Below are 12,190 nucleotides of genomic sequence, written 5' to 3'. Positions count from 1 at the left end.
AGTCCCCTGTGAGACATTTCCAAGGTCTACTCTGGACAGAGAAATCTGTCTACAGCAGGGATGCCCAACGCCACCATCTCATCTGGGCCTATGGTGGCAGCTCAGCCTCTCTTCATCTTTCTCACTTTTGTGCCTGAGTCTGAGGTTGAGAACCAAGGTCAAGGTCAAATTCTAAATGGAGGAAAAAGCAGGTCCCGCAAGAACATGTTTGCTTGATCCTGGGGGGTGGGGTGTGCCCCCGCTGGCACCCTTCCCCACACTGCCCCACCTTGGCTTTGGGGAGCGGCACAGCCTCAGTCTTCCCCAGGCCCACCCCAGCGCTCTTCCTGGGGCCCCTTCCCTAGAAACATTCCCATGCCTGAAACATGGCTGCCTTCCAGAATAGTCACTGTCTCTATTCCCCCTGTACTCCCAGTCCTGCTTCTTGGGGTCCCAGTAGCCTGATGAGCTGGTGGCGCCCCTTGTCCTTGGCTCCCAGGGTTTCCAGGCCATGCCCTCCACCGGCCAAGGCTTCTGCCACCCACCCCACCTGCAAGTCCCCACGTTCTCAGGAGAAGGTGGAGAGTCCAGGGTGAGGGTCCCTTCCAGACCCAGCAGCTCCACCTTGGAAAGGGACAGGGACCCAGGGAGGGGCTGCACCAGCAGGCAGGCCAGGGACACACCCAGAGAAGGACAGGTTCCCGCTACACAGGCCCCAGAACAAAGGACCGAGGGGCCCCCTGGTTACCTTAGTGACATCCTCAGCAAGGTCAGAGGCCCAGGAATGCTCCCCTTTCAGGGGAGTGGGGTGACCCAGCTGCCACATTTGCAAGGAGTAGAGATGGTCTCCAGCTCAGCTGAGATCCCCCAGTCTTAGGTTAAGGCTGCAGCCCAGCCTCATGGAGTAGAAGAGAGAGCAGAGGAAGCCAGAGAGCCCCTCAGGCCAGTGGGAGGAGGAGGAGAAAGATGGGCAAGGGGCTGGGCCTGCCCCAGGAGGGCCTCAGTGGGGAGAAGGTGGAAGAGGAGAGAACCTTGAGTTCTCCAGTACTAGAGCTTTTATTCTGCAGTGAGAGAGTTGATAGTATAGCAGTTACAGCCAGTCTTCTCCTTTGACAGGCAGGGAAACTGAGGCCAGGAGAGGTAGGGCCCAGCAAGTTGGCACCTGGGCCTGATCTGCCTTTCAGCTCCATCTAGCCAGAAACCAGCACTCTCCTTCTCCCACTCCCCCTGCTCACCCCAGGCCTCATCCCCAACCCTTCTCCCCTCTGTCCCCCTCCTCTCATCATTTTCTCTCTCCCACCAGCTTCCCAGGTGCGAGGCTCCAGTCTGCCGCCTGCCGCTTGCCTCCTTTCTGTGTGGCTTCCCGGCCCTCGAGTGCGTGCGTGTGTGCATTGGTATGTTTGCACATGTGTGCGTGTGCGTGTATGCGTGCGTGTGCCAGGCACAGACTGCGGTGCCCGCCTGCCTTTCTTCCTCCCGCAGGAGCTGACCCACGAAGCCCCGCCCACTGTGTGCCCGGCCCCGGGGTCCTGGTCCCTTCTGCCCCCGCAGGACTTGCAGTTCTTGTTTCTTCTTGTATCTCCCTGTTTTCTCCCCTCTCTCTCTGCCCCTCCAGTGATCTAGACAGAGACTTTTGGAATAACAATGAGAGCACAGTGCAGCAGAAATGGAGCTCCTACCCTCCCAAGGAGTTTATTCTAAACATTTCACCCTACGCCCCTTATGGCGACCCACGACTGTCCCTCAAGTGAGTGACTTTACCTGGTTTGATCATATGTACCGAGTATCCGCGCACGCCCTCCTTCCCTCCTCCTGCCCCCACCCACCTCTGGACCCGCTCACTCCCTCTCTCCTCTCGCTCCTGTCCCCCAACTTCCCCACCCATCCACCCCATGGGCAGGCCGACCATGGAGACGAGCAACCCCACCTGCCCCAACCCACCTGCCTGCCCGCTCCCGTCCCCTCCCCCAGGGCCAGCCTTGCAGGAGAGCCCCCTCGGCAGCCATACCTGGCCCCCCCAGCTGGTCCCGGGGCCCACCCCACCTTCTGTGCAGTCAGGATGGGGTTGCCCGTTTGGGTCCCGCCCCCTCGGTTGTGGTCGCTTCTTCCTCCCCGCTGTGTGCTGCCGTGGCTGCTCGGTGGTCGGTGGTCGGTGGTCGGTGGTTCGTGGCGGTGGTGGCGGTGATGGTGGTGGTGGTGGTGATGAACTCTGACTAACACGGCTTTCTCTTTCTCCCTGCCTTGGGGCCTCCTGGCCTGGACAGCCCGCTCTTCCTCCGTCGTTAACCCTTCGTTGTCCTGTGGGATAGAGTTGGAGGTGGCTGCCCTCCCCCAACCCCCGCCGCCCCTGCCCCAGGCGGTGGGGAGGGGCCCCCCCTCCGTTGTCGTGGTGCGTTGTTCTCCGACCCCCAGCCCGCCCGGTCCCCCTCTCTCCTCTGCAGGCTCCGCTGTTAACCCATTTGCAGTGCTGATGTCTCTCTCTCTCTCTCTGTCTGTCTCATGTCCGTCTGTCTCTCTCCTCCTCCTCTCTCACTGTCTCTTTCTTCCTTTTATCTGTTATTGTTTTTCTTCCTCTTCCACCCCCCGACCCCCACGTATGGCCTGCCCTCTCTCCCCCACCGCCACCCCCGGTGCCCCTCTGGCCTGGCTGCCTCGTGCATGCCTCCAGTGGCACCCTCCTGTCGGGCGCCAAAGTGGCCGCCGCGGCGGGGCTGGCGGTGGAGCGGGAAGGCCGGCTGGGGGAGAAGCCGGCACCGGTGCCGCCACCCGGAGAGGACGCCTTGAGAAGCGGCGGGGCTGCCCCCAGCGAGCCGGGCAGCGGTGGCAAGGCGGGGAGAGGCCGCTGGCGGACGGTGCAGAGCCACCTGGCCGCAGGGAAGCTCAACTTGTCCAAGTGAGTGATGGCGCCCCATGGCTGCCGGAGCCATGAGCTCAGGCCTGCCCTGCCAGGGTGGACAGCGGGACCCCTGGCATGCCCGCTGCTGCCCCCAGAGGTGCCGTCCTCGGCCCCTGGCTCATTCCATCCCTTCATGAGACTCTCCCATCATCCTTGCCATCTGGCACGACGAACTCAGCCATACAGTGATGCATTTCAGCCTCTGGCTGATGCCCCATCAGTCCCTTCCTTTGCCAGTGACCAGGTCATTCCATTTTCTGCCCCCAGGGCAGCTTCATTTCAGTCCCTGGGTCATCCCATCCTCTTTGATTGGCCCCCCCATCTCAGCCACCAGGTCATCCCTCCATGGGCAGCAGGCCTGTGGTTGTTCCATCTCATCCTGGGTATCTGGCCCACTCTCAGCCTGACAATCACCCATCAGCTCCCAGGCTTTCCCTCTTACAGCCAGCAGATGGCTCTAGACCCAGAAGTTGAGCCATTCCATTTTTGACCATCGGGTGACTCCATTGGCTGTCCCAGTCTTGCTTGAACCATACATCATCTGTTGTGGAAGCCACTCACGAGCAGCCGCAGGCTGCCCCATCGGTTCATCCTCATCTCAGCCATCCCCGTTGGCTGTCCCAGTCTTGGTCACCGAGCTATCCCACCACTGGCTGTTGGGACCGTGTATTCCTGGAGGTTGGGTTGTCAAACCCCAGCTAGCTTCACTTGCCAGATGTCATGGGGTGTTCTAGACATCAGGCAGAAGGAGCCGTCCCCTCTGTAATAGCTGTCTGAGCTTGTCGAACAGTCAGGCCCACTCTTGGCTGATGGACGTAGGATTGGCCCCTGTTTTCCACAGACAGTATATCCCCTCTCATGGGGCAGCTTTATTCTCATCTTGGCCTTTGGAAACTTCTGATTCCCCTCATCAGAGCCCTTCTAGGCCCTGAGTCCTTTGAGCTGTGACCAGTCTCCCTTGGGGTATAAATTCCATTTTCAGAAGTTGGAACTCCCAGCTAATGGAGCAGCCTCCCATTTAACAGGCCAACAGCCCTGCCCCTTCCTAGCTGTTGGGCCATCCTGTTGCCTCAACTGAGGGTCCTCCTGATTCTCTTCAGAAGACCTGTGGTTCCTGCCATTGGGAGCACCGAAGGCCACCGTACCAAGATCTCTTTCGCTAGTTGGCTTGAGTGCACACAAGCCAATTTCTCCCAACATCTGGCCCCAGGAGGGTCCCACAGGGAAGCCACACACCCCTTCAGAGAGCCCGGCCCAGTGCCCCACCCTCCCAGCCTGCCCCGGCCAGTCTCCAGGCCGGTTAGGCCTCCATGCCATCCACTGGCTCCAGGCCTGGAGGAACCAATTTTAGTTTCCTGTGACTGAGAGGTTGTAAATTGGACTAATTTTGGATGTGATAGGAAACCAAAATGAGGTCACCAAGGAGGGGGAGGAGGCAGCTGCCAATGTGCCGCCCTCCCTCTGCCTTGACCTGCCCCCAGGGAGCTGTGGGCCTACCTGGCCGGCCAGGCCTGGGCCGGCCCCTGGAGGTAGCCTGGATTTCAGGCCTGAGTTAGGCAAGGCTGCCACCCCTCCAAGACCCCAGCTAAAGCTACGTTTTGCTTTCTTCTCTTTCTTTCCCTCTCTCTTTACTATACTCTTTCTCTCCCTCTTTCACTCTCTCTTTTTCTTTCTCTCTCTCAGCCCACAGGGGTAGCCTAACTGTTGTCTTTTGGTTCCCAGGGTAGGCTCAGAGGGTGAGCAAAGCTGAGGTCTGGTTGCGGTGGTGAAGGTGGCTCCCAAGGGCTCTGGGGCCTCCTCCCTTGGGCAGCCCAGGGGATACTTGGCTGCCCCATGGCCCTAGACCAGAGGTCAGCAAAGTTACTCAGTAAAAGGCCACTTGGGAAATATTTAGGCTTTATAAGCCATATACTCTCTTGCACAATGACTCAACCCTGCCATTGTGGAATGAAAGCAGCCAGAGTCACTATGTAAACTAATGCCAATGGCTTGGTTCCAATAAAACTTTATTTACAGAGACAAGCAGCAGGCTAGATGTGGCCCACAGGCAATGGCTTCCCAACCCCTCCCCAAGACCACTGGATTGAGAGGTGGAGGGAAGGGACAGAGGAGGAGAAGATTGGAACCCCTGAAGTTCCAAGATGAGAAATGATTCACCCAAAGCTGCTCATTCAGCCCAGTCTCTGGCTCCGCTCTGGTGCCTGGGGGCAGCCTGGCTCTGGCCCTGCCTGTGGGATATGGTGAAATCTCCAGCCAGCGCATGAAGCAGACAGGTTCTCCAGGGGAGGCCAGGGACTTCTGACTCCAACCACTGGCATGGGGAGCTTTTACCAATACAGCATTTTCAACACAGCCCAACCTCATTAGATCCTCATGGCAATTCTGTGACAGAGGAAGCTCGGGGATTATTTTATTACTCCCATTTCATAGATGAAGAAACTGAGGCCCAGAGAGGTGGAGTCACTTTTCCAGAGTCCCATATTTAGTAAGTGGCAGAGGTGGGGTTTGAACCCAGGTCTCTCTGAGGCTATACTGCATCTGACCAGCCATGTCCTAGTTCCTCTCTGTCCTTGCCCCACTTCCCAGTGCATTTCAGAGATTACTGATGGGCCTTTGGGAGAGCATCCCCTTGCAGATGCATCAAAGACAGTCACCCTGTTCTCTGTTAGAACTGCGGTGAAGTGTCGGATGAGGGGATACTGGGTTCCACCCTGTGTGCACTCTTTCTTGGTCCAGTCCTCTGACTGGGAGATATTTCCAAGGTCCCAGGAGAGGATGCTGGACCTTGGAAACAAAGAACCCTGAAAAGAGGGCAAAGATCCACGCCAGACCCTGAATTCTAAGGCTGTGCTGGCCACAGGGTGGAGGTCTGCCGCTTCCTTGCCTCTGTGGACAAAGTATAAGAACTGATGGCTTCCCCGGCCTCCCCAGGATTACTAGGCCAGCTCTGCACTGGCCTGGATTTCTTCCTGTCTCCAAAGGATGCCAGTACTTAGAACACAGAGGCAGACTTTCCTGGTGTCCCCCAGCGAAATAGCGGGAGGGGCCACAGCAGCTCCCTCTACCCCTCCCACTCCAACATGACAGGCAGCTGCAGGGCCCAGGGGACCTGCCTTCACCACGCAGCCTCAGCAGCACTCGCAGCCCACTCAGACCGGCAGGGAGGTCGGCCTAGCCAGGAGGTATTCTGGCACTAGCTGAGCCAGGGCCAGAAGGTGGGTGGGCAGAGCCGGCCTGGGGCCTCAGGGTGGGCGCGAGGGCTTTGCAGCCTCCTGGGCGAGGCAGTGGCGGCGACGGCGGTGGCGACAGCTCCGATGGAGGCCTGGCGAGGTCCGGCAGCGCGCACCCTGCACTGGGGCCTCCTAGTCCTGGCCCTCGGCTTCTTTCTCTTCCACTGTGATCCCTTCATCTGCTTCTCCTTTCTCTCCTCTCCTCCACCTGCCCCAAGTTTCGAGGACTCCACCCTGTCCACGGCCACTACCCTTGAGTCTATCCCCAGCTCCACGGGAGAGCCGAAATGCCAGCGACCCCGCACCCTGATGCGGCAGCAGAGCCTGCAACAGCCGCTGAGCCAGCACCAGCGGGGCCGGCAGCCCAGCCAGCCCACCACCAGCCAGAGCCTGGGCCAGCTGCAGGCCCACATGGCCTCGGCACCAGGCCCCAACCCCCGGGCCTATGGCCGGGGCCAGGCTCGGCAGGGCACCTCGGCCGGCTCCAAGTACCGGGCGGCAGGGGGCCGCAGCCGCTCCAACCCAGGCAGCTGGGACCACGTGGTGGGGCAGATTCGAAACCGAGGCTTGGACATGAAATCCTTCCTGTAAGTCCTCCCCTTGAGCGGGCCGGCCCCCACCTCCCTGACCCAGCCTCCTGCCCCCCAGATCTCCTTGGGAGCAGCTGGTTGTGTGTACCTCCCGGCCCTCCATCCCCTTGGCAGGGTGCCAAGCAGACTTGGCAGCCCCCTCCTTAGCCTCTTGTGGCTCCTGCCTGAAGGCCACCACGGAAGAATTCTCAGCCACCTCCCTATGAGGACCCCTGCCCCTCAGTGCTCTAGGGCTCAGGGAAGTTCCCCCTAAAAGGTGGAGACACTGGACAATGCCCTGAGATACATCTCTTCTCCCCAGCTAGTCCCAGGCTGCTCTTGGCCTCTTGGCCAGTCTTCCTTCACTCCTGCGACCTCTCTCCTCCCCCTTCTGCTCCAAAACCCATCCCTTTTACTCATCTCCAGCCCTGCCTCCTCCCCTGCAATTTACTTCTCCCCTGTAACCCGACTCTGCTAGCCTTCTTGGCCCACACCCCTCCCTCCCTCCCTCTCACTTCCTCTATCCCTGTCCCTGCCACCAGCCCTCCCCCATCTCTCTGACCTTCTATAGCCACCTGTCCTCCAGCTCCCGCCCTGACTTCCCAAGTCTCCTTCCTCCAGTAATGACCCATCCCCTGAGGACAAATCTGAGATGTTGCCCCAAAGCTTTAGAAAAGGTTGTTTCTAAATTGGAGCTTTCTTTCAAGTATATAGGTCTAAGAAGTAACAACACACCATCAGTGTCTAACCTTAACCATTCCCACCAGCCATTCGCCCACCCCCTGCTCTCCCTGGAGGGGCCCCACCCAGGAAGCCCCCTCCCCAGCATCTCTCTGGACATCTGCCCCCCACTCTCAGAGCCTAAGACAGGTCTGGGCTGCCATCCCCAACATCACCCCCCTCCTTTGCCCTAACGTGAGCTTCCTTCCAGGCCCTGGGGATTGTTCCCATCGCCCAGGTCTTCCCTGGGAGCACTTTTCACGGAGCAGGAGACCAGCACACTAAGCCTGGGCGAGGAGAAAGGGAGGAGGAAAGGGAAGCATTGGCAAGATATAGGGATTCTGAAGGCAAGCAAGTTCCTCGGAGCATCCTGTCTCTCCTCTGAGACCTCAGCCAGGGCTTCCCGGGCAGATGGGAGCACTGCCCTGGGAGAGACACCCCACCCGAAGAGGCCCTGCCATGCCAGCTTCCCATACCCGTGCGAGTGGCCCATGGCCAGCAAGACATGCTGCCTGTGACTCTTTGGCAAATCAGGACACCATATTCTCTGGGGCTCTACCCCACTCAAGGACCTGCAGGAATCTAACTGGACGCCTGCACAAGATGAGATGCCCAGAAGAGCCTCCGGTCTTCCAGGTGGCGGTTTGTTTTGGGACAGAGGCTGTGATCCAGGCGTGGATCTTGGAGAGTCGAGGGAATTGGGTCTGCGTGGCTTGAACAGGACTGAGAGCCTGCTGGGCCCCTGCACGTCCTTGCTCCTCCCCACCTCAGACTGTCTTATCACAGCTGTCACCCTACTTCCTGTTCCAGCAGCCATTAAACTGGGCCAGGGGCCTGCCAGGAACCCGGGTACCATCTCTTCCCTGCCTGCTGCCTTCTCAACTAACTGGGATTCGTCCAGCATCATGCATGCAACAGCATCCTCTGTCCCTGCTCTGTGCCCCAGGACAAGTCTCATGTCCCCCTAGTTGCTGGCAACCTCCAGAGCTCACCTCAAGGGTCGGCCAACTTTTCCTAGAAAGGTCCAGATAATAATTTAGGCTTTGCAAGAGGCATGTGATCATCACATATTCTTTTTTTCTTTAAAACAACCCTCTAAAAATGTAAAAACCACTCTTAGCTCGTGGGCCGTAATTTGCCCCTTGCTTTACAATTTAGCTGCCCTGTTTCTGAGGCTCTTTACTTGCCCAAACGCTGGTGGCTCCAGTAGAGAGGCAGGTGGCGAGGGTTGTCCCGACGCCCCATGATCCCACCCACCCCTTGCAGGGAGGGCAGCAGCCCTCTGCTTGATGGTCGTGACTCCCCTAACATTGCCAGCCTCTCCCTCCACTCTCCAGCCCGTGCCCCTCATCCTAACCCTCGCGTCCTGCAGAGCTGGAGAGAGTGACGAATCGGGAATTTATGCAGAGGAGCTGTTCTGGTTTTAAGAAGAGAAAAAGGAATATCTGAAAAATGCATTAACTGGGGAAAAAACATGTTGTTTTCACTGAGTTTGCCTTCCCCCAGCACAACTAGCTCCCGAGCAGCCAAATGGAATTTTACCAACTCTGAAACAGTACCGGTGGGCAGAAAACAAAGAAAAGGAGGATTCGTCCTGAGGGAGGGTATAGAGTTGTTTCCCGAAAGTTAGATCCCAGCACAAGGGTCAGCCTGGAGTAACTGTGCCCAGGACCAAAGACGCAAAGACAGGGAGGGGCACAGCAGCCACTTAGCTCCCTCCGTTCACTGAGACCCCAGAGGTAATGTCCCATTTTCCAAGACCCTCGTGCCCTCGCCCCTCACCTCAGAGGCTATTTCTCGCCTGTTTGTTCCCTGTTTGACAACTGCTCTGAGAAGTTAGAGCAAGCTCTTCCTCTGTAAACCTCGCCTCCCTTCACAGTGGTTGAAGTGGTAGACTTCCTGACCCAGCATCCTCTCCCTTCCAGAATATTCCGTCAGCCCTACTGTCTTCCCTTTGGCCCTTCTTGAGACGAGCTTTCCTGCCTGGCCTGTCCAAGAACCCCTCCCTCTCCTTTTGTTCTGATGAGAGGCCCAACGCTGGAGAAGCTCCACAAAGCACCCAGAAAACGCTCGCGGACTCTGATGGTCTTCAGGGACAGCAGGGTCGCCAATGATTCTCCCTTCTCCCCCCCTGGCAAATGCGGGTAACCTCGCAAAGACCCTGGCAAGTTGCCCGATGGTTCTCTGAGAATGCCCCCTACTAAAGGTGTCACACCTGGCCTCATACGGCTGCCCACATGTCCACTCCAAGAGAGTCTCGCCTTCTTGCCTACCCCCTCCCCGTTCAGCCTTGACTGTGCTCCCTCAAAGCACGATCTCTCACTGCAGGCACAGGCTCCCTGCAGTCCTGCCAAAACTTCTCCAGACCTTGCCAAGTTCCTGCACTTTCTCGCCGCCTTGGCTTGTGGTGCCTTCTGGACCTCTTCTCCAATGAAAGGCCCTTGACCTGGACTCAGCGGTGGTGCTCATTCCCTGGATCTCCAGCAAGGAGGACACAGGAGACAGCCACTATGGCCGAGTTGCCATATACCACAAAGGACTTTCATTCTCCTCTGATGGGCTTGTATATCCAGGAGCCAAGGGGAGGTAGCTCCTTAGACCCTACCTGGCTTCAAGGACATCTGGTTGACCATGACACAGCGTTGTCTATGAAGGGCTTCCATAAGGACAGGGTGCAGCGCCCACTGGATTTCGAAACTTTCAAAGCCTGCGCGGTGCCGGTGCAGGATAGTGACGGAGCCCCTCCCTCTTCTCCCAGTGGCCCAGATGGTCAGAGCGAGTCCAGCTGGGCATGCATTAGCAGTTGGAAATCTGTGGGGTCCCAGGGCCTGTGCTCCATTCCCCCCACCCTATCCCCCGTGTTCCCTTGGGACTGTCCCAGCCACAGGCCACCTCTGCAGGCCTCTGCCCAGCCCCTTGCAGTTTAGCTCTGGAGAATCTTGCTCTTGGCTCAGACCAGTGGAGTCTCAGGCCGTAGTCAACTCCCCTCCCTCCCTGCCTCCACTCTCCCCACTCTATCCTGCAACTGTTGACACTGCTGAAGTTTGTTTTCTTTCCTGCAGGGCCAGTTTCTTACACTTTTTTCTTCTCTCTCTTTGTCTCTGTCTCTCTCTCTCTCTTTCTCTCTCTCTCTCTCTCTCTCTCTCTCTCTCTCTCTCTCTCCCTCTCTCTCCTTCCCCCCTGCCCCCGCCCACGGGGCCTCCTCGTTTCACCCTGGCCTGTGGGCTGCCCTCCCCGGGCAGGGAAGGCCGGATGGTGGTGCTATCCTTGGTCTTAGGGCTTTCGGAACAGGATGACTTTGCCAATATCCCTGACCTGCAAAACCCAGGAACCCAGCAGAACCAGAACGCTCAGGGGGACAAGAGGTACGAGCACAGGCGAGGGCCTGCGGCGGCGGCGGCAGAGAAGGAGGCGCGGAGAGGCCGCCTGCCTCGACCGGCCCCGGCTGCTGGACGAGGTGGTGGTGCCTTCAGCGGATGCTGGAGCGGAAGGACAAGCCCCCTCCCCAGCCGGTGCCCTCACGCACTGCCACCTCGGTGGTGTCCCTGGGGTCTGAGGCCACTTGCGGCCATCCTGGGACCATTCTGGATCAGGCCTGCTCTCTGGCATGCTTGCCCCGGCCCGGAGCAAGCGCAGCCTTTTCTGCCCCATCTTCCTGCTTGGCTCCTCTCTGCTGCCCCTCCATCTTTCATCTCTGTCCCCACCCCAACTGGAAATCCCTGTTTCTCTGGTGGTTGGTGGGCGGGGGGGATGTAAGGGAAGGGGCGCCAGCCCGTTCTCCCTCATCCCCACCCCCTCAACCTCCCTCTTGCCTGGAGGTCCTGTTGGGCTGCTTGGCTGATGGAAGAGGAGCCCATGGTGGGAGGGTCTGGGGCATGGGAGAGGCCTGGTGACCAGAAATAACCAGAAGGCTCTCCCCTGAGCCCGGGCACCAGGAGGGAGCTGGGGAGGGCCCGGAGCGGTGCAGGCAGCCGTCCTGAGCAAGGGTGAGGCCTGGCTTTGTTGGGCTCCTTTTCACTGCGGCTGGCCTCGGGACCCTGTGGAGACTGGGCATAGCCTGTGTGGCCACAGCACAGGCCAAGCAGAAGGCTGGTCACTTAAACTGCCACAGCCTCAGCTATCAGGAATTCAGGGAAGCATCTCCTACTGTCTCCGTCTCAGGGAGGGGGTGGGGCGCTGCTCATGGGCAAGGGGTAGGGTGGGAGGTCCCAGGGTTCAGGCGGCATCCCACAGCTGGGGCCAGTGGATGCCTGACCTTAGGTTGGGTTGACCACACCTGTGGTTTCCAGGATGAATTAGCCTTTGGGAATCATGGGAGGAGGGCTTGTCACCTTGATTGGGTCTGCTTCCCATCAGACCAAAGGCCTGCAAGGGAGCATGGGGCCTGGCAGCCCAGACATCTGCCTTCCAGCTCTGGTTCTGCCAGAGCCTCATTCTGCAGCCTTGGGCAAGTCACAGCCCCTCTCTGGGTTCTCTGCTCACTTATCTGTCCAGTGAAGGATTGGACAGGCTAACCTCTAAGGAATGGCCCCTCAGGCTCGGATATGCTAAGCTTTTCATGAGGGAAACAGGCCTTTGGGCTGGGGCATGTGTCCTGTGAACTGGGCAGGGACTGTTTGGACAGGCCATCCTGAGGCTCTTGAGAGGCCCCTAGGGGCCAGAAGGGACTGTCCCAGGCTGCTGCCCTGGGCTTGTGGGCTAGGGAGGATGGATAGGCTGAGAGGCAAGATGGCTGGCTTGCCTGTCCCTCTGGTGGCTCCTGGAGACCACCCCTCCCAGTTTCTTCCCATCCCGAG

At 58.8% G+C, this 12,190-nt stretch overlaps 1 protein-coding gene across 18 annotated transcripts in view; it reads left to right on the top strand.

Moving 5' to 3' along the window:
• The window catches only part of SYT7 (synaptotagmin 7), a 74,674-nt gene that overhangs the window by 39,485 nt on the left and 22,999 nt on the right, over positions 1-12,190 (top strand). For 2 of the 18 annotated variants that reach the window (XM_011545335.3, NM_001365809.2), the window contains exons 4-7: positions 1,595-1,726; positions 2,648-2,872; positions 6,324-6,692; positions 10,637-10,759. The exons of 3 other annotated variants lie outside the window; for them this stretch is intronic. In XM_011545335.3, the coding sequence (XP_011543637.1) occupies positions 1,595-1,726; positions 2,648-2,872; positions 6,324-6,692; positions 10,637-10,759 (849 nt within the window). Of the gene's footprint in view, positions 1-1,594; positions 1,727-2,647; positions 2,873-6,026; positions 6,693-7,605; positions 8,244-10,636; positions 10,760-12,190 lie in introns of those variants that run through there. 13 more of the 18 variants (XM_011545337.3, XM_005274384.3, XM_011545338.3 and 10 more) reach the window with 8 other exon arrangements.

The sequence above is a fragment of the Homo sapiens genome, chromosome 11 (assembly GCF_000001405.40).
Source record: "Homo sapiens chromosome 11, GRCh38.p14 Primary Assembly".
NCBI lineage: Eukaryota > Metazoa > Chordata > Mammalia > Primates > Hominidae > Homo > Homo sapiens.
The sequence above is the reverse complement of the archived record's forward strand: the minus strand, read 5'-3'. Positions and strand labels throughout refer to the sequence as shown.